Consider the following 27,613-nt stretch of genomic DNA (forward strand, 5'->3'; position numbering starts at 1 on the left):
GACACTGCAATATTTTATACAACCTTGAAAGCTGCCTTAAATAGTTTTGGGAAGCAAGGTGGACTATAATTAAATAAATTCTGGAAATGGAAATGACTAGTGTATTATTTTTATCTGTCAAGAGCCACAACTCAAATACTACAAGAATTGAGAAGAACTTATCAACCTTGTGTTCAAGGCCTGCCACAGTATAATCTTCAAGCTACTTTCCCAACTAGTTTTCTTTCTGTCTGCTTCACGACTCTTCTTTCACTAGTCACAGTTCTTTGTAAGATGTGTTTAATGGTGAGTGCTTGCTTTCTTTGCTCATGCTCACTTTCCACCTGGAATTTCTTCCCTGCCACACCTGCCATCTCTGTGGATCAAATCTTGTGAGTTTTTCTGATTTTCACACTTTATTTTGAAAACTCTCAAAGTTTTCTGTTACCACCTGATGAATTCCACCTTCTATGAGATATTTGCACATTCCTCGCTATCTTCTCTCCAACCTACCTTTAGATTATAAGTTCCTGGAGGTTTGGAGATCAAGGGCTCTGCCATTCCTTTTATCCCTTGTGGTATTAAAGCTCAAATTTTTGATCTAAATAAGTCTTTAAGTAAGAACTCTCCCTCAATTATATACTTCAATGTTGGCTTTTACTCTTAATAAATGTGGAGAGAAAAAGTGGGGGAGGTAATACTAGGCTAGTCAGATGCCTGAATTTTCTCTCACAGTTCTAAAATTTAAAAGTATCTCTTCCAGAAAGTTACTCTAGGTAACTGCCATCCTTTGGCAGGACTAGCACAATATCCATCTAACTGGTCGGACTGATTCAAGCCTTCTTTCCATTCAATTCATTTTCTCTACAGCCCCAGAGCCACGTTTCTGAAACAAACAGGACATGTTTGAAATCCTTTTGCAGCTTTCAGGACATAATCCTCAGTCCTTAGCCTGTGCAACAAGGCCCTTCATGATCCTGATGCCTCCTTTTTCACATTCATCTGTTACTACTTCTGTTCTCCCGCCATAATGAACTGCTTTCAGTTTCTGGGATGGGCCAAGCCTGCAGGGTCTTTGCATAAGTGGGAGTAGATAAACATGAGCAAATCCTCATCTAGAATGTGTTTCCTTTACTCTTCAACCTGCTAATGCTGGCTTGTTTCACAGCAATTGTCTCAAATGTTTTCTTCTTCTTGGAAGGTTGCCTTATCCTTTTGTCTTGTCTTAGAGTTTTCTCTCCCCTTAGGTGTCTGGGAATACCTTTATTGTAACATTTAGCACACTGAATCACCATTTCCAGTTTAATTATCATTTCTCCCCTCTAGAGTAAAGGCTATAAACTCTTAGAGCAGAGACTATTCATATTTACCTTATTTCTCCATAATCCAGCAACATCTGGCCCATGGTAGGTGTTTATTAAATATTCATTGATTGAATAAATGATACCTATATGTAAAAATGCTGATTCGTTAGACACACATTCTACATAATCCTAACTTTCTCCTCAAAAGATTAAAATAGCAAGAGGAAAACAGACTCAGAATTCCCAAGAAGTCTGGAAATGTGAATGAACAACTAAGTGCAGAGAGCTTTCTGAAGGGGATAGGAAAGACTCATGACAAGAAAATGGAGTTGGGAGGATGTCAAAGGATTTGGAGACAGTAGAATAATTGGAAAATGATGCTTATATGAAATAATTTAAGATATTGGTGGAAATGTACAATGTGTCTATTAGAAATATGAATGCCCTTCAGCAATGTTGCTTATCTGAAAGGTTTCATTTTCTTATTTTCCCTAGATAGCCATCATATTCATTTATCTTACTAACATCCTCATAATTGATTCCCCAGTGTCACCTTGTAAAAGTACTTTTATACTCTTTTCATCGCCAAGATACCTCACACGTACACCATTGCAAACATACACTGGTCCCAATGACATCGCATCTTTGCTTTATTTTTATTTTTTTAAATAGATTCTTCAATAGCCTATGTTATGCCTTTTACAGATTCTCTGGACACACATCAGGTGCCTCACCATCATTGTTAATGGCAATCAGAGCAAGTAATGTCTTTTAGTTCTTTTTCATTAATGAAATGGAATAGCACCATATTCAGTCTGTTAGTGATACACTATTACATCGAGAGCTTACTGAAGAAATGCAGCCAGCCTGTGTACATAGGGCTGGTTTTCCTTAGATGTGATTTTCAGCCATGAACAAACAAGGCACCCTTTCATCTAGCAGAAAAGTTTGCTGTCTTCCCCTCTTTCTTTCTCATTTGTTTTGTCCTATTTTTTTCCTGACAGTCTGCAAGAAATATAATGTTTTCTAAATGACATTGAAAATTCTTGCAGATTAGGTATTCAAAGGGATAAAATATCAATTAATCTTTTGAAAGCCTTTCTTTTTTGTTGTTCCTGTCTTTGGATTTCAGTTTCTTGAATTCCTTACTCTCAAAGAAATGTTTTTCCTCTTGATTTTTCTCATTATAAAACTGGATATAAATGTAAAGTAAGCAGTCATTCTAGGTATTTTTTAAATTCCTTTAGCATTCATGCAGAAAAAAAAACTCTGCTGTTATTTTAATCCCTTTAGGAAAGTATGTTTGATTGATGCCCTCGAACTTGGCTAGTTGAGGCAAAATCTGAGAGTTTTTTTTTAATCCTCTAAACTCAATTGAATTATATTGCCTTAGCTTATACTTTATAAGGTGCCCGTTAGCTTTAAAACTCACACTACCGGCATTTGTGCTTGTCAACCAAGCCATTTAGACTTTAAGTTCATTTGAAGAATTAAATTAATGTGATGCTAAAGCGTCTATTTGTGTATAGGTCCCAGTTCCTAAAATAACTTTTCTTAGCAGTCTCACCAAGAGTGAAATGCTGTTAGTGGGCTAAAGGAAAGTATATCAACTTCACAGGCCTTATTCTAGAATCAGTAATTTGTGTGTTAAAAAATGAGTATTAAAGTAGGCAGTACAGCTGATGCATTCTTGTTAAATAAAGCATGAAAGTTCAGCTTTTGTGTTCATTTCTGCAGTGAGTTCCCTTTACTACCCCTTTTTCACCATAGTTCATTCCTGAATGGCCAGACATAATGAGAAGATACAAGAATTCGACTGCTCAATAGAAGTACCTCATCCCATCTTAATGCTGAGCAGGCAGCATATGGTGAAAGAATGAATACAAGTTTTGAACAAGATGAGCATTTAAATCCCAGCTCTTGCATGGACTGTATGTATGGGTTCTCTGAAGCTGTCTTACCATCTGTAAAGAAGATAATGACAATACTCACAGAGATATACTATGAGAGTTAGATGAGATATTGGCATAGTCATAATAGATACTCAATCTTTCCCACATCACAGGATTCCAAGCTTTTGACTTAGCATGTTCAATTTTTTAAAGCAATAGTTCTCAAACTGTGATCCCAGTCTAGCAGCACAGCATCTCCTGAGAGCTTGTTAGACATACAGATTCTCAGGCCTTGACCCAGATCTACTGAACCCAAAAGGGTTGGGCAGGGGGTGAGGGTGGAGGTGGAACCATCTTATTTTTAAAAAGCCTCCAGGTGACTCTGGTGCATGATTCTGATGGTGAGTTTGAGAACCACTTAAGCCAATCAGCAAATCACAAACATTGGCTGTGTGTGAATGGGGAAAGGATAAAATGATTAAAACAGTGGGAGGTATATAAGTTCATTTTCATGATGCTGCGAAGAATTACTCAAGACTGAGTAATGTGTAAAGGAAAGAGGTTTAATTGACTTACAGTTCTGCAGGGCTCGGGAGGCCTCAGGAAACTTACAATCGTGGTGGAAGGGGAAGCAAACACATCCTTATTCACATGGCAGCAGCAAGGAGAAGTGCCAAGCAAAGTGGGAAAAGCCCCTTATAAAACCATCAGATCTCCTGAGAACTCACTATCACAAGAACAGCATAGAGGAACTGCCCCATGATTCAATTGTCTCCCACCAGATCCTTCCTGCAACATGGGATTATGGGAACTACAATTCAAGATGAGATTTGGGTGGGGACATACCCAAACCATATTATTTCACCCCGGCCCCTCCCAAATCTCATGTCCTTACCTTTCAAAACACAATCATGCCTTTCCAACAGTCCTCCAAAGTCTTAGCTCATTCCAGCGTTAACCCAAAAGTCCAAATCCAAAGTCTCATCAGAGACAAGGGAAATTCCTTCCACCTATGAGCCTGTAAAATCAAAGGCAAGTTAGTTACTTCCTAGATACAATGTGAGTACAGGAATTGGATAAATATACTTATTCCAAATGGGAGAAATTAGCCAAACCAAAGGGACTACAGACCCCATGAAAGTTCAAAATCCAGTGGGGCAGTCAAATCTCAAAGCTCCAAAATGATCTCCTTTGACTCCATGTCTCACATCCAGGGATGTGGTACAAGAGGTGGGCTCCCATGGCCTTGGGCAGCTTTGCCCCTGTGGCTTTGCAGGGAACAGCTCCCCTCCCAATTGCTTTCACAGGCTGGAATTGAGTGCCTGTGGCTTTTCCAGGTACACAGTGCAAGCTGTTGGTGGATCTACCATTCTGGGATCTGGAAGACAGTGTCCCTCTTTTCACAGCTCCAGTAGGCAGTGCCCCAGGGGGGACTCTGTGTGGGAACTCGCACCCCACATTTCCCTTCCACACTGCCCTAGCAGAAGTTCTCCATGAGAGTTCTCTGTCCCTGCAGCAAACTTCTGCTTGGACATCCAGATTTTTCCATACATCCTCTGAAATCTAGGCAGAGATTCTCAAACCTCAATTCTTGACTTGTGTGCACCTGCAGGCTCAACACCACGTGGAAGCTGCCAAGGCTTGGGGCTTGCACTCTCTGAAGCCATAGCCCAAGCCGTACCTTGGCCCCTTTCTAGCCATGGCTGGAGCAGCTAACACAGAAGTCACTAAGTCCTAGGCTGCACACAGTGAAGGGACCCTGGGCCTGGTTCAGGAGACTATTTTTCCTCCTTAGCCTCTGGTCCTGTGATGAGAGGGGCTGCTATGTAGACCTCTGACATGCCCTGGAGACATTTTTCCCATTGTCTTGGTGATTAACAGTTGGCTCCTCATTACTTATGCAATTTTCTGCAGCCAGCTTGAATTTCTCCCTGAAAATGGGTTTTTCTTTCCTATAGCATTGTCAAGATGCAAATTTTCCAAACTTTTATGCTGTGTCACCTCTTGAATATTTTGTGGCCTAGAAATTTCTTCCACCAGATACCGTAAATCATCTCTCTTAAGTTCAAAGTTCCACAGATCTCTAGGGCGGGGGCAAAATGCCTCCAGTCTCTTTGCTAAAGCATGGCAAGAGTCACCTTTGTTCTAGTTCCCAAGAAATTTCTTATCTCCGTCTGAGACCACCTCAGCCTGGACTTCATTGTCCATATCACTATCAGCATTTTGGTAAAAACCATCCAACAAGTCTCTAGGAAGTTTCAAAGTTTCCCACATCTTCCTGTCTTCTTCTGAACCCTCCAAACTGTTCCAACCTCTACGTGTTACCCAGTTCCAGAGTTGCTTCCACATTTTCAGGTATCTTTACAGCAGCACCCCACTACACAGTACCAATTTACTATACTAGTCTGTTCTCATGCTGCTATGAAGAACTTCATGAGACTGGGTAATTTATAAAGGAAAAAGGTTTAATTCACTCACAGTTCTGCAGGACTGGGGAGGCCTCGGGAAACTTACAACAATCATGGTGGAAGGTGAAGGAAATATATCCTTCTTCACATGGTGGAAGGAAGAAGTGCCAAGCAAAGAAGGAAATAACCCCTTATAAAACCATTAGATCTCATGAGAACTCACTCACTATCCTGAGAACAGCATGGAGGTAGCTGCCCCCATGATTCAATTACTTCCCACCAGGTCCTTCCCACAACATGTGAGGATTATGGGAACTACAATTCAAGATGAGATTTGGGTGGGGACACAGCAAAATCTAATCAGGAGGGAGTTAAACTGACAGTAGACATTTTAGTCTTGTGTAGAATGTTAATTTTTCTTTATCAGTCAAACTCCTTCCTTCCAGAATTATACATATATATGTATAATATATATTAATATATATAATATATATATTATATATTTTTATATATATTTTGTATGTATAATATATTATATATGTGTATATATAATATATTATTATATATTGTATATATAATAAGATATATATACATATCTTTCTTTTATGATTTCCTTCCTTTTGCATGACTTTTTTTGAAGACTGACATAATTTCACTTAGGTTGGAAATGAGTGTATTGGTCCCCTTGGAGAAAAATAAATAAATCCCTATTTGAGTTTATCCAGTACAATAAAAACTATCAGGATAAAATGATATAAGTAGGAAGTCCTAGAAAAAATGAAATCCAATGATCAGTACCTTCGCATAGTATGTGTATCCGCTATGGAATAGTTGGTTATAACTTTTAGAATTCTAGAGGTCTAAAACCAGCATGATAGCTCATTCCTCATCTCTTGGTCTGAAGAGGAGGGAGGCACAATTGTTTATAAACATAACGGCACTGAGGTGGGGTGTATGGGTATGAAATCCTAGTGTTTCTACATGGTTACTTTATATAGGTTTTACTGAGTTAAAGCTCTGTTTTTAATATGGGTCAAGACTCATATATATATATATATAATACCATACCAACAAGCCCTGCATCCCTAGCATGATCCTTTGAACCTCTAGTAATTAGGGCAGTAACTAAATTGGCCCTTTTTATTTTCCACTGGTGTCAATACCAGCTAAGAGGATTACATCTTGCTTGGATATTAAGACTCTTTTCATAACTGAAAGCATCTAATCCTGATTATTCACTGTTTGTATTTATAAAATATATAAAACTAGAAATAAATCTCTCAACTGAGGCCCAAATGTCACAGTCAAATTAACCTTCCTTGACTACTGATTCACTTTGACTCACAGCTAATGAGGACAGCTCCTTTTTTTTTTCTTCTATTTTTCTCTCAGTGCCTGTAGAATAAATCCTACATAGAACTGGAAATAGATTTTATTGTGCATATATTTACTTATCTCCTGTGCCCTTCACATTGCTTCCAGTTCTGTATCCCCTGTGCCCTTCACAATTGCTTCCAGTTACTTTGGAGATTTTTTTTTTTTTCTGTTTTACTTTCCTGTTCAGAATGCAAGATAAAATCCCATGGAAAAATGATCAAAATGCAAAGTACTCAACACAAAATTATAACTTAAATTTGATTTATCTTTTGGTCATATAGATTTCCTTAGGGAACATATTTAAACATCATTTCCCAAACATTCCCTAGAGTAAGAGATCTGAAATTTTGTAGCCTAGTAAAATCACCATGTGAGCATTAAATGCCCGAATGCCCAGGTTACAGTCCAGGCCAATTAAATCAGCATATCCGTGGGTGGATCCAAGCATCAGTAGTTTATTAAATCTTCCCAGGTGATTACAATGTAAAGCCAAGTTTGAAAGTTTGAAAGGATCCTAAAGGATTCCTCTCAGTCTTATGAGATATTAGTGTTGTACTTAAACAAAAAACGTATAAGATTTACCACCTTTGGGAAATGTAGCAGACTGTTTTTGTCTTCTTACAAACACTTAAGAGAATCACAATGAACATTTTCACATTGGCTAAGCTCGGTGTCTCATGCCTGTAATCCCAGCACTGTGGGAGGCCAAGGCAGGTGGATCACTTGAAGTCAGGAGTTTGAGACCAGCCTGGGTAACATGGTGAACCCCCATCTCCACTAAAAATACAAAAATTAATTGGGTGTGGTGGCGCGTGCTTATAATCCCAGCTACTTGGAGGCTGAGGTGGGAGAATCATCTGAACCCTGGAGGCAGATGTTGCAGTGAGCCAAGATCCCACCACCGTACTCCAGGCTAGGTGACAGAACCAGGCTGCCCCCTCCAAAAAAAAAAAAAAAAAGTGTATTAAAGGCTGAGTACATAAAGGAAGAAAATGGATGTAAAGAATGAAGGAGGACAAGAGAAAAAGTAACTCACACCTCCAAGAAAAACTGAAAACCTATTTAGCTTGGCTTATTTCATCATATTTCAAATTTGTTTGCTCAGATTTCATTGTATGTAGAACACCTGTAAAAATTTTATTGGAACACATCTTCCATAGAATATAATTCAGAAAATATGGATTAAAAGGAATCCACCACGAAGTGTGTTTCTGAAATGCTTATTAAAAACCCAGTTATATCAGATCTTCCTATACTTTGTTGTCATTTTTGATATTTAAAATAGTGTGTGAAGTATAACATAAGACTTCAGAAATTATGTGAAGTATCTAATAGAAATAGGGTATTTGGATCACAAGCACCATGTGAAATTTAGTTTTAAAAAGTCAGTCTCCAAAAATTAACAGAAGAATTAAATGAATGGTATGTAGAGGACTCCAACGTTTATTAACACTGGAAAGGGAAATCCAATCAGGTAAGAAAGTAGAGTGGTATGATAGCAGAAATACAGTGCCAGGATACATTAGATCTAGTGGCATGTGCAGGATAAGCTTAAACAAACTGGTTAGTCTGGGACTATCCAATATCCCATTTCTATTATACTCATTCACCATTTTATATTCTCTTCTCCCGGGCTTTTCTAAAAACTTTCTTTTTCTGAACTTTATACCTCTGGAGGCTATCTAATCAGTTGTTGTCTACAGTTTCTTCTTTCCTTCATGAAAACTAACTGGTAACCTTTCCTCGGGAGTCTCCCAACTCCTTCTTGGGGGCCAATTGTATGGTAAAATACTAATTTCTGAATGCATTAACATTTCTTTTTAATTTTCTTAATTTTATTTTATTTTTCCATAAGTTATTGGAGTACAGGTGGTATTTGGTTACATGAGTAAGTTCTTTAGTGGTGATTTGTGAAATTTTGGTGCACCCATCACCCTAGCAGTATACACTGCACCATATTTGTAGTCTTTTATTCCTCACTCCCCTCCCACTCTTCCCCCTTTGTCCCCAAAGTCAATTATATCATTCTTATGCCTTTTTGTCCTCATAGCTTAGCTCCCACACATCAGTGAGAACATAACATGTTTGATTTTCCATTCCTGAGTACCTCACTTAGAATAATAGTCTCCAATCTCATCCAGGTCACTGCAAATGCTGTTAATTCATTCATTTTTATGGTTGAGTAGTATTCTATCATATATACATACCACAGTTTTTTTATCCGCTTTGTTGATTGATGGGCATTTGGGTTGGTTCCATGATTTTGCAGTTGTGAATTGTGCTGCTATAAACAAGCATATGCAAGTATATTTTTTGAATAATAATAATTATTTTTTTCCTCTGGGTAGATAACCAGTAGTGGGATTGCTGGATCAAATGGTAGTTCTACTTTTAGTTCTTCAAGGAATATCCACACTGTTTTCCATAGCAGCTTTACTAGTTTACATTCCCACCAGCAGTTTAGAAGTGTTCCCTGATTACTGCACCCATACCAACAGCTACTGGTTTTTTTTATTTTTTGATTATGGCCATTCTTGCAAGAGTAAGGTGGTATCGCATTGTGGTTTTGATTTGCATTTCCCTGATCATTAGTGATTTTGAGCATTTTTTCACATGTTTGTTGGCCATTTGTATATCTTCTTTTGAGAATTGTCTATTCACGTCCTTGGCCCACTTTTTGATGGGATTGTTTGGTTTTTTCTTACTGATTTGTCTGAGTTAACTGTAGATTCTGGATATCGGTCCTTTGTCAGATGTATAGATTGTGAAGATTTTCTCCCGTTCTGTGGGTTTTCTGTTTACTCTGCTGACTGTTCCTTTTTCTGTACAAAAGCATCTTAGTTTAATTAAGCCCAAAAAACTTTATCTTTGTTTTTATTGCATTTGCTTTTGGGTTGTTGGTCATGAAATCCTTGCCTAAGCCAATGTCTCGAAGGGTTTTTCCAATATTCTTCCAGAATTTTTATAATTTCAGGTCTTAGGTTTAAGTGCTTAATGCATCTTGAGTTGATTTTTGTATAAGGTGAGAGATGAGGATCCAGTTTCATTCTCCTACATGTGGCTACCAATTATCCCAGCACCATTTGTTGAAAAGGGTGTCCTTTTTCCACTTTTATGTTTTTGTTTGCTTTGTCAAAGATCAGTTGGCTGTAAGTATTTGGGTTTATTTTTTGAGTTCTCTATTCTGTTCCATTGGTCTATGTGCCTATTTTTATATCAGTACCATGCTGTTTTGATGACTACGGCCTTATAGTTTAAAATCAGGTGGTGCGATACCTCCAGATTTGTTATTTTTGCTTTGGCTATATGGGCTCTTTCTTGGTTCCATATGAATTTTAGAATTGTTTTTTCTAACTCTGTGAAAATGATGGTGGTATTCTGATGGGGATTTTGTGGAATTTGAATACTGCTTTTGGCAGTATGGTCATTTTCACAATATTGATTCTACCCATCCATGAGCATGGGATGTGTTTCCATTTGTGTCGTCTATGATTACTTTCAGAAATATTTTGTAGTTTTGCTTGTAGAGGTCTTTCAACTCCTTTGTTAGGTATATTCCTAAGTATTTTTTTTCAGCTAGGGGTTGAGTTCTCGATTTGATTCTCCACTTGGTCACTGTTGGTGTATAGAAGAGCTACTGATTTTTGTACATTAACCTTGTATCCAGAAACTGCTGAATTCTTTGATCAGTTCTAGGAGTTTTCTGGAGGAGTCCTTAGGGTTTTCAAGGTAAATAATCATATTCTCAGCAAACGGACAGTTTGACTTCTTCTTTACTGATTTGGATGCCCTTTATTTATTTCTCTTGTCTGATTGCTCTGGCTAGGACTTCCAGTACTATGTTAAAGAGGAGTGGTGACAGTGGGCATCCTTGTCTTGTTCCAGTTCTCAGAGGGAATGCTTTCAGCTTTTCCCCATTCAGTGTTATGTTGGCTCTGGGTTTGTCATATATGGCTTTTATTACATTAAGGTATGTCCCTTGTATGCCAATTTTGCTGAGGGTTTTAATCATAAAGGGATGCTGGATTTTGTCAAATGCTTTTTCTGCATCTATTCAGATGACCACGATTTTTGTTTTTAGTTCTGTTTATGTGGTGTATCACACTTATTGACTTGTGTATGTTAAACCATCCCTGCATCTCTGGTAGGAAACCCACTTGATCATGGTGGATTATCTTCTCATTTTGTTGTTGGATTTGGTTAGCTATTATTTTGCTAAGGATTTTAGCATCTATGTTCATCAAGGATATCAGTCTGTAGTTGTCTTTTTGGCTTGTGTCCTTTCCTGGTTTTGGTATTAGCGGGTGATGCTGTCTTCATGGAATGAATTAGGGAGGTTCCTTCTTTCTCTATCTTGTGGAATAGTGTCAAAAGGATTGGTACCAATTCTTCTTTGAATGTCTAGTAGAAATCTTCTATGAATCCGTCTGGTCCTGGATTTGTTTTTGTTTTTATTTTTGTTTTTGAGACAGTCTCTGGCCTCACTGCAACCTCTGCCTCCCGAGTTCAAGTGCTTCTCCTGCCTCAGCCTCCTGAGTAGCTTGGAATACAGGTGTGTGTCACCATGTCCGGCTAATTTTTTGTATTTTTAGTAGAGACGGGATTTCACCATGTTAGCCAGGATGGTCTTGATCTCCTGACCTCGTGATTTGCCTGCCTCAGCCTCCCAAAGTGCTGGGATTACAGGCGTGAGCCACTGTGCCCGGCCTGGACTTTTTGTTGTTGTTGGTAATTTTTTAATTACTGTTTCAATCTTGCTGCTTGTTATCGGTCTGTTCAGGGCATCTAATTCTTCCTGATTTAAGCTAGGAGGGTTGTATTTTTCCAGAAATTTATCCGTCTTTTCTAGGTTTTCTAGTTTATGTGTGTAAATGTGTTCACAGTAGCCTTGAATTATCTTTTGTATTTCAGTGGTGTCAGTTGTAATACTGTTTCATTTCTTAGTGAGGTTATTTGGATTTTCTCTCTTCTTTTCTTGGTTAATCTTACTAATGTCCTGTTAATTTTATTTATCTTTTCAAAGAACCAGATTTTTGTTTCATTTATCTTGTGTATTTTTGTGTTTTGTTTTAATTTCATTTAGTTCTGCTCTGATCTTGGTTATTTTCTTTCTTCTGCTAGGTTTGGGTTTAGTTTGTTCTTGTTTCTCTAGTTCTGTAAAGTGTGACCATAGAATGTCAGTTTGTGCTATTTCAGACTCTTTGATGTAGGCATTTAGGGCTTGATCTTTCCTCTTAGCACCACCTTAGCTGTATCCCAGAGGTTTTGATATCCCAGAGGGCAGGACTCACTCCCACGGCTGCCCACCCGGCCTGCCCCCGTAACAGTCTGTTTCCAGGTGGAGGGCGAGACAGGCTTGAAAACTTGCCCGAGGCTTTCTGCCTCCCAGCTGCAAAGGAAAAGGGCTTTAGATCTTCCCCTGCCTGTGAAGTCCGCTAGCCAGATTCATGCCCTCCCCTGAGTTCTGGCCGGGGGTTTCTCTCCCCATTCAAATTGTTACAAATTTCAGATAGAGAATTCCTTCTCCCAGTGGAGTTTTAGCTCCTGCCCCTCTGGCCACCCTCCTGCTGGATCCCTGTGGTGCCAGGCAGGAATGGGCTGCTTGAGGACCCGGTGAGCTCCCAGGGCCTTTCTGCTGCTTCCTCTATCCCTGTATTTCACTCAGCTCGGCTCTCTTAACTTGACTCAGCTCCAGGTAAAGTCGGAAACTTCTCCCACAAACAGACCTTCAGCTTCTCCAGTGGGGGTGTGTGCTCAGGAGAGGAGGGTGTCCCGTTCCCACTTCCTCAGTTGGGGCACTCACAGTATTTAGGGTGCTTCCTGGGTCCTGCAGGAGCAGTCCGCTTCCTTCAGAGGGTCTGTGGATCCTCTCAGGATTGCTGGTTTGTTCTTGCAGTCGATCTAGAGCTAAAATTCACAGTGCAAGCCTCCGCATGCTGCTCTGTCCGGAGCTGCAATCTAGTTCTGCCTTCCGTCCACCATGATACCTGAATGCGTTAACATTTGACCCTAGTGATGGAATTTCACACGCTGTGATGGATATTTAATTGTAAGACAGACGCAGAGTGATGGTGGTCATTCTCCATATAGCTGTCCTAAGAGATCTCAAAAACTTCTGCTTAATTAGAGTCTCTTAATCATGAAAAGTTTTGAGTTATCATAGACAGTGGTGAAAATAATTAAAGTAATTAGGCAAATTGGATTTGGATAAACATTTTAAATGGATAGTCAAATATCAATGTTGGAGAAGGTTCTATTGGCAACTGAGTCTGATTGACAGGAAAAAGGAAGATTAAATGCCTAATAGACAAGGCTCTAAGATTATCCCTGGTCTGATAACGATTTTGGATAATTCTACCAGAGTTGACAATGTTGTGTATTTCTTTTTAACTGATTTCGTCTCTTGCTTAATTTACCCTTCTAAATTCATATGATCTCCCCAACCACAAAGAACAGTTAAACACCCAGCACAAAATGGTTTAATTTTAAAAGAAATTGATTGATTCATGTATATAAAAAGCCAATAGCAAGAGCTGCCTCAAATGATATCACTACATGTTTTTTTCTTTATATTCATTTGCATTTGTCTTCACATTCCATATTCTCACATCTGACAAATCTATGTCCTCTCTATCATGGTAACAGAGTCGCTGACCCATAAGCTTACACTACACCATGCTAGGGAAGAGAATAGGTCATTTCCAGGTGTCTCTGTATGGAAAAGAGAATGTTTTCCTTTCCAGTAGCTTAAGTAAACATCAAGTTTCATTGGCTCTGTTAGGGCTATTTTCATTTATTTCTGAACAAATGATCAGGATACACTAACTGTAGAGCCAATCACATTGTAACTACATGGTAGTGAAATGGGGGTCATAGGATTTTCAAAAGAAATGTGGATTATCATCAAGAATAGGAAATGAATGCTGAGTTGTAAGAAAAAAATGCAAATAGAAGTTCACCCTTGTCATCATTCTTCATATCCTTCTGTCTATAGTGTACAACTTTTGATTGATTTTTACTTTTGACCTTAAGTCATTGATCCCTCTTTTAAAAATCTGTCTTGTTTTATAAATATCCTTGAGACAAGACTTAAGAGTATTTTTAGGAAATTCAAACCTACATATTTTTATTTTCTATAAGTGTGTATGAAATTCATTAAAGAGGATGTTCGTTTATATCCACCACTTTAAAACTTACAGCAGTTTAAATATAATTGGTTTTCAGTAAAAATTGTATATAATGTAGGAAACATGACTTCATTGGGCAAAACTCTAGAAAAATATGTAGTTAACATTTTTGGGAAAAACTGTCCGTAGTAGCCTGTGAGTTAGTGAAGGAGTGTCCCCAGGCCCTAAACAGAAACTAATGTTTTCTAGGATATAGCATTCAAGGACCAAGAAACTAGGTGAGACCAGATCAAGAAAATTAGGAGATAAAAATGAAGAGTAATATGATATCTGTATTGCTTTTTCTTTTTGTTTGATTTTGGCTGCCTTCTTCTTTGCTACCACCCAATAATGAGCACTTCTGGTTTGCTTATCTATTTATTTCATTAGTTTTATTTTTTTTCGAAGCTAATTCTTACACGCCTCTCTTAATGTTCAGACCCTTTATATCTTATTTTTTCCAGTGAATGGGAGATATTAAGATTTGTCCTTTTGAGTTGATTATATCCAATTTATTTTCTTTGTTTGAGAATGTAACTGAGATATCACTGGGTCTCTCAATATTTTGAAACCAGATGATTGTCTAAAATCCTCAATCCCATACCCTTTAGAAGTCCAAAGCTTTATGCAACATGTATTTGAGTTTTCAAGGGCATTAATAATCACTTTTATTTGCTCTCTTTATTCTAGGTTGATTTTGATGTAAAATTTAATCTTTTTTCAATTTTCTCATAAAAATCCCACTCAGAGTCACATTAATGAAGATTTGGGATGTGTTCAGGAATCGAAACATATTGTTCGTTCCAATAACTTCAACTTGAATATAAAGCTACATCTCTGTGGTTTAAATGCCTTTTAATAGCTTCACCAAAGTGGAATTTCAGGCCCATACCACTCATGGGCTCCTCTCTCCTCCGTCTTCCCGCCAGCTTCTTCAGGTTTTCTCTCTTCCCATCTTTCTTAGAAACACAAGATGCTCCCATTCCCCGCTTTATAACTGCCTCCTCTCTTGGACTCACTTCTCCAGCTCCTCCAGTGTCTTCTCTCTTCCCATCTTTCTTAGAAAGACAAGATTATCCCATTCCCCGCTTTATAACTGCCTCCTCTCTTGGACTCACTTGTCCACCCTGGCCCACTACTCATCTCTTCTCACCTCCTCAAAACTACATTATTTCATTACCAATGATTTCAGCCTTGGCCTCACTTCAGAATGCCTTTTAACAGAGTACTCCACAGCCCCATGTTGTCAAGAGCTTCCTATGATGGAAGATCTTACTTATACATTTGGTATCCTGCTTCTTTTTGTCCTAATACACTTGTTTGTTTGTTTGTTTGTTTTTCATTTTAAGTTGTTTCATAAGTGGCTCCAGTTTCTTCTCAAATATGTTAGGTATAGGGGAATTTTTTTACTGGTTCAGAATTCCTTTTCTCTTAATTTTAATATTTTTCCTTTAATTCTCACCCTTAATTATTCAATTTAAAAAAAGAAGCCTGCTTTTTTAACGGACTTTATTCTCCTTTAATTTTTTATGTTCTCCTTGAAAACCTTAAGCTTTTTACCCAGAGTGCTTAATTATTCATTCACTCACTCATTCATTCATTCACTCAACAAATATATATTAACTACCAACCATAACGAATTAGGCATGGTCTTTCTAGTTTACCTGGTTTGACTGCTAAGAGCTTTAGCAGAGGTACAGAGAAAAAGCTGTTAGATGTCATAAGAGGTAGTTACCATTTCCCAATGGGGGACTGAAGCAAGGCAACATACAGGAATTTAGCATTTGGACTCAGATTGAGAGACAGGTTTTGGATTTGTGTTGTAGGTGGATTAAAAAAAAAGTTTGAACACAGTGGAAACAAAAAAGGCCAGAAGGAGGAGGTTAGCAAGAAAATGCTCTTAACTGTGAGCAAGTGGATTTTGGAATAGCCAAACATAATTGAGATGATGTAGGTCACAATGATTTTAAGAATTGAATGGGAGTGGAATAAAATTTACCCCACAATTACATACTTTGCTTCTTCATTGCTTGACGGTTATCATCAAACTAACTATTCTTCAATTCCTTTGGCAAGGAGTGGAATCTGGACTCTGGCACCAGAGGGTCGATTTCCTTCCAGTTCTCCTTTCTATTTTTTTTTTGCTTTTGTTTCTTTACTTTGAACTCCTCACAGTCTTGGAAAAAAGAGGGCTTGCAGAGACTTTTTCATTTTGTTTTTATATTGCCCAAATTGTACTCACATGGATAGAGTAGTACCATTTAATTGTTTCCCTCTAAATATGCACAGTTCCCAGAGGTATTTTAATCAGATAGCTTTATGCCCTGTTGTTTGCAGTTTCCAACTTTTTGTTTTCTATTACTTTCTGTTTATTTAGAATGTTGCTGCCTCTTCTTTTCTTCTCTCCATTTTCTCCCTGTCTTCATTTGCTCACCACCCATCTTGGATCAACCTCTAATATGAATATTCAAAATAGTTGAGTAAGTCAAGTTCTGTCTCTGAAAATCTCTTGACTAAAAAAACAGATTAAAAAATAATATCACTGACCCTTTTAGAGGCTGAGCTCTGTTTCAGAAAACATTAAGGAATGCCTTCAACATTTTCTCTTGTTTAGTTGCATCATTTACTTGAGTCCACTGGGATGATTGGCATTCACGATGTGTGGGCTGGAGACCATCAAAAGGAAATGTTTTGTGTGGAAATGGAATTTACTCTGTGTGTGGCAGTTTGAATAAGTTCCCTTTCTCTTTGGCTAAAGCATCTTTACCAAGCCCAATCTAATGCATTAGTCACAGAACTTAAATAGAAAACAACAAAGCTTCCAGGCACATTGAGGATTTCTTCGTTCCTTTGTCTTTTTGATGAAGTCCCTCAGTTCTTTCATTTCCAAAATAAAGAAGCAAGCCTAGTCGACAGACAAAATTAAATGAACCTAAAGAGGCTAAGGACATTAGTTGTTTATGTGTTCATATTAGTTTCTGGAAGAACTAACTAGATAATAGATCAGTCAGGCCAGTTAAACTAATTTCTTGATTATTTCAAATTTAAAGACTGATAATAAATGTTGGTTTGACCTTAACAGACTCTCTTATTTAAGGAGGTCACCACTTTACAGGCACTTTTAAATTCTTTATTATTTACAAACCAGACTAATATGGCAAAAAGAAAACAGAATGTTAAGGAACACTGAAGAGGGTATGAGCAGACAAGAAATTCAAATGTGAAATAGAAACACTAAGAAGAAAGTAGTAACAATACGAAAGATCCAATTTGCAGGAATTTGATTATCTACTTGGTTCCTGGGTACTATGGTGAATGTAATATTGGCAATGATAAATAATACCTAAAATTAAATAGCTTTATATATGTAAGATTAACAAGGAGAAATGAGTTCTCCAGGATACCCAATGTATTAGTAACTCAACCAGTTTTTTCTGGGTTTTATCATGTCCTATTACCCAGTCTATGCTTTATTGCCATAGTATATGGCTTCTCAACATAATACTTGGCATATAATAGGGATTTAAACGTTTCTGACTGAATGTTCCTAGTAAGTGAATTAGGTGTGTGTATCCTTTATTGGAATTTAACAAAACAACACTTTGGCCTCTCAATTTCCTGAGCTCCTCACTTCTGGTGACCTTTCTCTATTCTATCCTAGAATTTATCTTTAGCAATTACTGTGCTCACTCTAAATCTCAATTTTAAGCACTCAGTTTCACACATATCACATTCTGATGACCACCTCCTTCTTTCCACACACTTCTTTCATGACCCTATGGCAACAGTTCTTTGACACTGCTAAGCCTGCTTTTCTGTTTATTGTTGCCCCCTCTTTCAGTACTTTTCCCTCTTCATTTTCTCACATCCATCTCTAACTTAGATTCCATAGTAAAAGATAGTAATCACTGTCTTTCCTGTGCTTCACCTACCCTGGCTAACTCTTCTTCCATCATCTTCTTCCAGTAAAACTTGGATCTCACTTGTATTCCATTCTCAGACTGCTCCATTCTTTTGAACAGCTGGATATGGCTAGAGTAAAATGCCACTATGTTGACGGTCTTTACCTTGATTTTGTAACCATAAGACTTAAATGTTACCTCAACACTTCCTAGAAATCTTATTACATAACCCTGGTCCATTCACTCTCCTGCTCTTCAAGACAACCATTTTATACCTTCTTTCTCACTGCCAAGCCCACCACCTTTCATTTTCACCTCACATCTTGCTTCATATATAGAAATGATGAAAAGAGAACGTTGGTACCTTACAAATCTCCCAATCTTTTCACATCTGAATCTATTAATTGTATCCTTTTGAATGAATAAATTGCCCCTGTTCTTATCTAAAGTCATTATTTTTTGTTTTCTGTCAGTTTTTTAAAAGCTCTTTTATTGAAGTATAACACATGTACAGAAAAAATACACAATTCACAAATTTACAGCTCAATAAATTTTACAAAGTGTAAACATTCATGGATCCATCATCCACATCAACATATAAAAGGGTCTTATCACAGAAACCTCCCTTATATTCCTGCCCCTTTTATAATCCCCACAAAAGTATAAAAAAATCCTAATTTCCATTGCCATAAATTTGTCTTATTTTTAAGCTTTAAGAAAAATGGAATAATACAGTGTAAAACCTTTTATGTCTGCCTTCTTTAATTCAACATTGTATCTGTGAGACCCATCCATATTTATAGAGCACTTTGTTTCTCATTGTTTTATATTTTATATATAAAATACGTTTATATATTTTATATATAAAATACGTTTATATATTTATATTTTTATATATAAAATACGTTTCTATATTTATATATTTTATATATAAAATACGTTTCTATATTTATATATTTTATATATAAAATACGTTTCTATATTTATATATTTTATATATAAAATACGTTTCTATATTTATATATTTTATATATAAAATACGTTTCTATATTTATTTTATATATAAAATACGTTTCTATATTTATATATTTTATATATAAAATATGTTTCTATATATATTTTATATATAAAATACATTTCTATATTTATATATTTTATATATAAAATACGTTTATATATTTATATATTTTATATATGCTTTATATTTTATATACTTTACTGTAGATGAAATTTAGGTGACTTCCAGCTTAGAATCATTATAAATAATTTTACTTTAAATATGTTATACTTATCTTTTGGTGTATATTTGTAAGAATTTCTGTTGATACATACATAGGAGTGTGATTGCTTGGTCATGAGTTCTGCAAATGTTCTGCTTAATTGACAATGCCAAACAATTTTACAATTTAAACTCCCACTAGCAGTATATAGGAGTTCCTATTGTCCACATCCTTACCAACACTTGGTATTGTGAGCCTTTTTCATTTTTGCCAGTCTGGTTGGAGTAGGGTGTTATATCATAATATTTTTAACTTGCATTTTTCTAATGACCAGTGAGTGAGATCAATCATGTTTTAATATGCATATTATCGTTTACATCAACTATATATATAAATTTTTCATTGTCTTGTTTTTTAATAAAATTTTTAGAGATCATTGAATATTCACATGCAGTTCTAAGAAATCATATAGTGAGATCCCTTGTAGTCTCTCTATTCTGTTCCATTAGTCTATTTTTCTATTCTTGCAATATGACACTAAGCACACTATCTTAATTACTGTGACTTTTCAGTAACTATTGATATCTAGTAGTATACATGCTTCAACTTTGATTTTTTGCCTGCAGAAATTTCTTCCACATTCTAAGTCCTTTGTATTTCCATATAAATTTTAGAATGGGCTTGTTTATTTCTACTAAGAAATCTGCTTGAATTTCAATGGGGATTGCAATTTGTAAGGAAAATTTACACTTTAAGAGGACTGAGTCTTCTAATTGAGGAATGTGGCATATCTCTGAATATATTTAGGTCTTATTTAATTTCTTTCATCAAGATTTTCTAATTTGTAATATAGAAGTTTTCATTGCCTTCTCTCATATTTCTAGTTATTTTGGTTTTTGATGATATATATATATGTAGTATTTAATTTTCATTTTAATTTTCTCTTGTTGACTTATAGAGATACAATTTTGTATGCCACTAGCAAATGACCCTCACTCCCGAATACAATAATTCTCTGTATTTCTTTTTTAATAGTTTAATGCACAGTTATCTGTGGGTTATGTTTAGTGATATTCTGGGAGACTGAATGGAATAATATACCTGTCAAGCCCACTAACTGGCCTTCTTCCTTCTTTAAGTACTTTCACTCCCAGTAGAAGTATATCCTGCTCTGTATTCACCTCCTGGATGATCATTTCATCATTTATAACTGTCTACTTTGTTATTTCTATATTAGTACCTTAAGCAAATAGCCTCCTTTATATACTAAAACTAATATAAAGCATTATGAATGCATACACTGTTACTAGTCTGGATAGAGATCTAGTTCATTATCCATTATACATTCCACTGACAGAAGTAGAAAGAATATAGGAAGAACTGAACAGTAGGGGTCCAGGTAGGAGTCCATCCTTTCCATGCCCTAGTAGGGACACTCGACGCTCAAGGAAAATATCTCAAGATCTCCTCCTCTCTGTGCATGGTCTCTCATCCCTTGAGTGACATGATGACATATAAAACATTCTTAGAATTTCACTTGAGGCAGATATTACTAATTAATTAATCAAAGCAAGCATGTGAAATGGTATCAATTTGCCAAACCAGGTTCAGACATTGTGCCTCAATTCAGAAATAATAGAATTATGCAAATCTAAAAATGTGACCCTCAAAAGTGTGGAATACCTCTGCTTGAGGTAATACCGCTCCTCTCCTTCAGCTACTCACTCAACTCTGACAAATCGTAACTCAGTTTACTCCCTATATCCCCAAGCTTTCTTTGTTAAAAGAAATTTTGAACTACTTGCTTTTGAAAGTAACTCACATGGCATGCTCTTAGCATCATCTAGCACAAGCTTTGTTTTCTTCTGTTCAACTTCCTTTCAGAGGTGCATTTTTACAACTTCCCTCTATTGTTCTCATTGACTTTCCGGGTTTGATGCGACCTGAAAAACTCTCCTTTCTGAAATTCGTTAACCAGCTTCATCAGTTTTATAGCAAGGACTGGAAGCACCAATTTAAAATTTAAATGGTACAATGATAACTTCAAATTAGTTTGATCAATTATTTTAGGAAATTCCAAAAACTGAAATTTCAAATATTGAAATGCAGGAACTTCCTTGCCCCTCCCTGGCTCTATAAATAATTAAAATAAAAAGTTTCCTCACAGGAAATATATAAAATATGTTTGTTTTGTTTTGCTTTAGTGGAGGAAAAGAGTGTAAATCTAGAACTAATAATTTGGGGTTTTCTTTGTTTGTTTCCACAGAAATAATCAATGATTCCACACTAATAGAAACCATTTGTCCCAACTGAAATAGGCAAAAACACGGTTCTGTTCCAATTTTACAATTTTTTTTTGTTTCTTCACACAACACCGTGGTGATGCAGTGTCTAGACTTTTTGGAACAAGGCATGGAGTCTGGAATTTATTCTGTGGGTTTGAAAATGGTTATTCAGTGCTCCTACACATTCACATGTGAAAATCTAATGATTTCATAATAGGTAAAAACCATCAAGCTGTTTACCAAATACATATATATTCATTAATGCTATAAGTTCAAGCTGCTACTTATAGCATTGGTGAATATACAAGGAAATATTGTATGGATTAATATATGTCATCTCATTGTGCCGTGGTCCCCATTAACCCCTATATCTGAAATATGCAAAATAAAAAACTTGTGTTCATGAAATAATTATTGCAGATATTTTCTAGCTTTTGTGAGGCTCTAGTAAAAAAAAAAAAGCTTAAGAATATACATCTATTCTTGTGGTTTCAATAAGTAATCTGTGAGAATTTATCAAGTTAAAAGGGCAGAATTGATATCACAGGTCGTTCTCTTAGTCCTCTGCCATTTATTAGCTGGATAAAATGAAAGCAGTCTCTGAGGCACCCAGATTTAACCAGTGTTTGTGCAGGCTGTATTATTAAGTCTGACTGTAGTTCATCTGTGCTCTGAAGAAAATCAAACTATGTGCTTGCAGAGAAAGTTCAGAGTTATTTGTCACCAATTACCTAAAGCTGGGAGTTGAGCTTACACATAGCTATGGCCAATTCCTGTAAATACTTGTTCCTAATTTCACAAGACTGTCACTTCCTGAGGATTTACCTTAGAAAGTGTATGTCTACCACAGAAGAACTGTAATACAAAAATGTTTACCCAGAGATAATAGTCTTAAGGGACATAAAACTCCATAGCATTGATTAGTTTAAAATAACCTGTTCTTAATTTTCAAACAAGTATTTCAAGTTCTGTTAGGTTTTCTGTGACAAAAAAAAAGCAAGCAGAAAGATTTTTTTTCATTAAAAGATACACACACATACAACACATTGAACTGAGCTAATCTCAATTATACTATTAAATCTCTACTGGTTATTTTAAGAAAAGAAACATAAAAGTAAGTTACCAAGTATTTAAGGTAGCTCGCCTGGAAGAAAATTAGGTTGTCTGAATATAAAGTGAAGGTTAAAAAAAATGGAAAAAACAAAAAAAAACTAAAATTATCAATCAATGGCATGTTTCTATATTTCTTACTTAAATTATTAAAGGCCATTAAAACAAGTTAATACCTATATTACATAAAAATGATCAGAAGGAAGATCTTAAGACCTTATTTACTTCAAAAATAATGAAGTAGACTGAAAAGTGTGCTGAATACTAGGTCAGAAGAACTGGGGGCTGGGCGTGGGGGCTCACACCTGTAATCTCAGCATTTTGGGAGGCAGAGGCCAGAGGATACTTGAGGCCAGAAGTTCAAGACCAGTCTGGGCAAGACCCTGTCTCTACAAAAATAAAAGTAAAAAAGCATATCTAGGCATGGTGGTGCATGCATGTAGTCCCAGCTACTTGGGAGGGTGAGGCGGGAGGATCACTTGAGCCCAGGAGTTTGAGGTTACAGTGAGCTATGATTGTACCACTGTACTCCAGCCTGGGCCACATGAGCAAGACTGCCTCTAAAACAAAAAGAAACGAGAAGGAAAGAAACAACAACAACAACAACAACAACAATGACAAAACTGGAGTTTATCCTCGTTATATAAGAACCTATATTTCTCCATCTGTAAAATAGGTAAAGCATTTTGCTTGACTCAGTGTTGCTCTGAAGAGAAGTTGATTGTGAATTGCATGACAGGCAGTTCAGTTTTGGTCATGTTGACAACTTTATTGAATGTCATGAAAGAAGTAAAGATACTCTGATTCAGTTTTACTAAAACAAAATGCAGATGGAGTTTTAAATAAGTGTCATTTGAAGAAGTTTAGCTAAGATTCACCTAAAATGCTACTTTATTATTAAGTTCTGGGATACATGTGCAGGTTTGTTACATAGGTATACACGTGCCATGGTGGTTTGCTGCATCCATCAACCCGTCATCTACATTAGGTATTTCTCCTAATGCTATCCCTTCCCTAGCCCCCCACCACCTGACAGGCTGCAGTGTGTGATGTTCCCCTCCCTGGGCTCATGTGTTCTCATTGTTCAACTCCCACTTATGAGTGAGAATATGCAGTGTTTGGTTTTCTGTTCCTGTGTTAGTTTGCTGAGAATGATGGTTTCCAGCTTTATCCATGTCCCTGCAAAGGACATGAACTCATTCTTTTTATGGCTGCATAGTATTCCATGGTGTATATGTGCCACATTTTCTTTATCCAGTCTATCATTGAAGGGCGTTTGGGTTGGTTCCAAGTCTTTGCTATTGTGAACAGTGCTGCAATAAACATATGTGTGCATGTGTCTTTACAGTAGAAAGATTTATAATCCTTTAGGTATATACCCAGTAATGGGATTGCTGGGTCAAATTGTATTTCTGGTTCTAGATCCCTGAGGAATTGCCACACTGTCTTCCGCAATGGTAGAACTAATTTACACTTCCATCAACAGTGTAAAGTGTTCCTATTTCTCCACATCCTCTCTAGCATCTGTTGTTTCATGAGTTGTTAATGATCCCCAGTCTAACTGGTGTGAGATGGTATGTCACTGTGGTTTTGATTTGCATTTCTCTAATGATCAGTGATGATGAGCTTTTTTTTCATATGTTTGTTGGCCACACAAATGTCTTCTTTTGAGAAGTGTCTGTTCATATCCTTCACCCACTTTTTGATAAGGTTGTCTTTCTCTTGTAAATGTGTGTAAGTTACTTGTAGATTCTGGATATTAGCCCTTTGTCAGATGGATAGACTGCAAAAATTTGCTCGCATTCTGTAGGTCGCGTGTTCACTCTGATGATAGTTTCTTTTGCTGTGCAGAAACTCTTTAGTTTAATTAGATTCCATTTGTCAATTTTGGCTTTTGTTGCCATTGCTTTTGGTGTTTTAGTCTTGAAGTCTTTGCCTATGCCTATGTCCTGGATGATACTGCCTAGGTTTTCTTCTAAGGTTTTTAAGGTTTTATGTCTTACATTTAAGTCTTTAATCCATCTTGAGTTAATTTTTGTATAAGGTGTAAGGAGGGGGTCCAGTTTCAGTTTTCTGCCTATGGCTAGCCAGTTTTCCTAACACCACTTATTAAATAGGGAATCCTTTCCCCATTGCTTGTTTTTGTCAGGTTTGTCGAAGATAGATGGTTGTAGATGTATGGCATATTTCTGAGGCCTCTGTTCTTTTCCCTTGGTCTATGTATCTGTTTTGGTACCAGTACTGTGCTGTTTTGGTTACTGTAGCCTTATAGTATAGTTTGAAGTCAGGTATTGTGATGCCTCCAGCTTTGTTCTTTTTGCTTAGGATTGTCTTGGCTATGCAGGCTCTTTTTTTGTTCTATATGAAATTTAAAGTAGTTTTTTCTAATTCTGTGAAGAAAGTCAGTGGTAGCTTAATGGGAATAGCATTGAATCTATAAATTACTTTGGGCAATATGGCTATTTTCATGATATTGATTCTTCCTATCCATGAGCATGGAATGTTTTTTTCCATTTGTTTTTGTCCTCTCTTATTTCCTTGAGCAGTGGTTCATAGTTCTCCTTGAAATGATCCTTCACATCCCTTGTCAGTTGTATTCCTAGGTATTTTATTCTCTTTGTAGCAATTGTGAATAGGAGTTCACTCATGATTTGGCTCTCTGTCTATTATTGGTGTATAGAAATGCTTGTGATTTTTTCACATTGATTTTGTATCCTGAGACTGTGCTGAAGTTGCTCAACAGCTTAAGGAGATTTTGGGCTGAGACGGTGGGGTTTTCTAAATATACAATCATGTCATCTGCAAACAGAGACAATTGGACTTCCTCTCTTCCTATTTGAATGCCATTTATTTCTTTCTCTTGCCTGATTGACCTGGCCAGAACTTCCAATACTATGTTGAATAGGAGTGGTGAGAGAGGGCATCCTTGTCTTGTGCTTGTTTTCAAAGGGAGTGCTTCCAGCTTTTGCCCATTCAGTATGACATTGAGTGTAGGTTTGTCATAAATAGCTCTTATTATTTTGATACGTTCCATCAATATCTAGTTTATTGAGGGTTTTTAGCATGAAGGGCTATTGAATTTTGTTGAAGGCCTTTTCTGCATCTATCGAGATAATCATGTGGTTTTTGTCATTGGTCCTGTTTATGTGATGGACTACATTTATTGATTTCTATATGTTGAAGCAGCCTTGCATCCCAGGGATGTAGCTGATTTGATCATAATGATAAGCTTTTTGATGTGCTGCTGGATTCAGTTTGCCAGTATTTTATTGAGGATTTTTGCATTGATGTTCATCAGGGATATTGGCCTGAAATTTTCTTTGTGTGTGTCTCTGCCAGGTTTTGGTATCGGGGTGATGCCGGCCTCATAAAATGAGTTAGGGAGGATTCCCTCTTTTTCTATTGTTTGGAATAGTTTCAGAAGGAATGGTACCAGCTCCTCTTTGTACCTCTGGTAGAATTCGGCCATGAATCCATCTGCTCCTGGGCTTTTTTTGTTGGTAGGCTATCAATTACTGCCTCAGTTTCAGAACTTGTTATTGGTCTATTCAGGGATTCGACTTCTTCCTGGTTTAGTCTTGGGAGGGTGTATGTGTCCAGTAGTTTATCCATTTCTTCTAGATTTTCTAGTTTATTTGCATAGAGGTGTTTATAGTATTATCTGATTGTAGTTTGTGTTTCTGTGAGATCAGTGGTGATATCCCCTTTATTATTTTTTATGGTGTCTATATGATTCTTCTCTGTTTTCTTATTAGTCTGGCTAATAGTCTATTTTGTTAATCTTTTCAAAAAACCAGCTCCTGGATTCATTGATTTTTTGAAGGGTTTTTAATGTCTCTATCTCCTTCAGTTCTGCTCTCATCTTATTTATTTCTTGTCTTCTGCTAGCTTTTTAATTTGTTTGCTCTTGCTTCTCTAGTTCTTTCAATTGTGACGTTAGGGTGTCGATTTTAGATCTTTCCTGCTTTCTCCAGTGGGCATTTAGTGCTATCAATTTCCCTCTAAACACTGCTTTAGCTGTGTCCCAGAGATTCTGGTACGTTGTGTCTGTTCTCATTGGTTCAAAGAAGTTACTTATTTCTGCCTTCATTTCATTATTTACCCAGTAGTCATTCAGGAGAAGGTTGTTCATTTTCCACGTAGTTGTGCAGTTTTGAGTGAGTTTCTTCATCCTGAGTTCTAATTTGATTGCACTGTGGTCTGAGAGACTGTTTGTTTTGATTTCCATTCTTTTGCATTTGCTGAGGAGTGTTCCAATTATGTGGTCAATTTTAGAGTAAGTGAGATGTGGTGCTGAGAAGAATGTATATTCTGTTGATTTGGTGTGGAGAGTTCTGTAGATGTCTATTAGGTCTACTTGGTCCAGAGCTGAGTTCAAGTCCTGAATATCCTTGTTAATTTTCTGTCTCATTGATCTGTCTAATATTGACAGTGGAGTATTAAAGTGTCCCGCTATTATGGTGTGGGAGTCTAAGTCTCTTTGTAGGTCTCTAAGAACTTGCTTTAGTAATCTGGGTGCTCATGTATTGGGTGCATATATATTTAGGATAATTAGCTCTTCTTGTTGTATTGATCCCTTTACCACTATGTAATGCCCTTCTTTGTCTTTTTTTATCTTTGTTGTTTTAAAGTCTGTTTTATCAGAGACTAGGATTGCAACCCCCGCCCCCTTTTTTTTTTTTGCTTTCTATTTGCTTGGTAAACATTCCTCCATTCCTTTATTTTGAGCCTATGTGTGTCTTTGCATGTGAGATGGGTCTCCTGAATACAGCACACCAATGGGTCTTACTCTTTATCCAATTTGCCAGTCTGTGTCTTTTAATTGGGGCATTTAGCTCATTTACATTTAAGGTTAATATGGTTATGTGTGAATTTGATCCTGTCATTATGATGCTAGCTGGTTATTTTGCCCATTAGTTGATGCAGTTTTTTCATAGTGTCCATGGTCTTTACAATTTGATATATTTTTG

At 36.7% G+C, this 27,613-nt stretch overlaps 1 protein-coding gene across 15 annotated transcripts in view, besides 1 other annotated feature; it reads left to right on the top strand.

Annotated features, from left to right (window-relative positions):
* RBMS3 (RNA binding motif single stranded interacting protein 3) overlaps window positions 1–27,613 on the top strand; it is a 729,325-nt gene that overhangs the window by 674,856 nt on the left and 26,856 nt on the right. The gene's annotated exons all lie outside the window — the stretch shown is intronic.
* Window positions 16,638–17,230: an enhancer, noted in NCBI's record as "OCT4-NANOG hESC enhancer chr3:30014055-30014647 (GRCh37/hg19 assembly coordinates)". NCBI's record gives its function as "activates a minimal SCP1, AML or CMV promoter by ChIP-STARR-seq in primed H9 embryonic stem cells {active_cell/tissue: H9 hESC(primed)}" and the evidence as "EXISTENCE:reporter gene assay evidence [ECO:0000049][PMID:30033119]".

Source organism: Homo sapiens, chromosome 3 (genome assembly GCF_000001405.40).
Source record: "Homo sapiens chromosome 3, GRCh38.p14 Primary Assembly".
Lineage (NCBI taxonomy): Eukaryota > Metazoa > Chordata > Mammalia > Primates > Hominidae > Homo > Homo sapiens.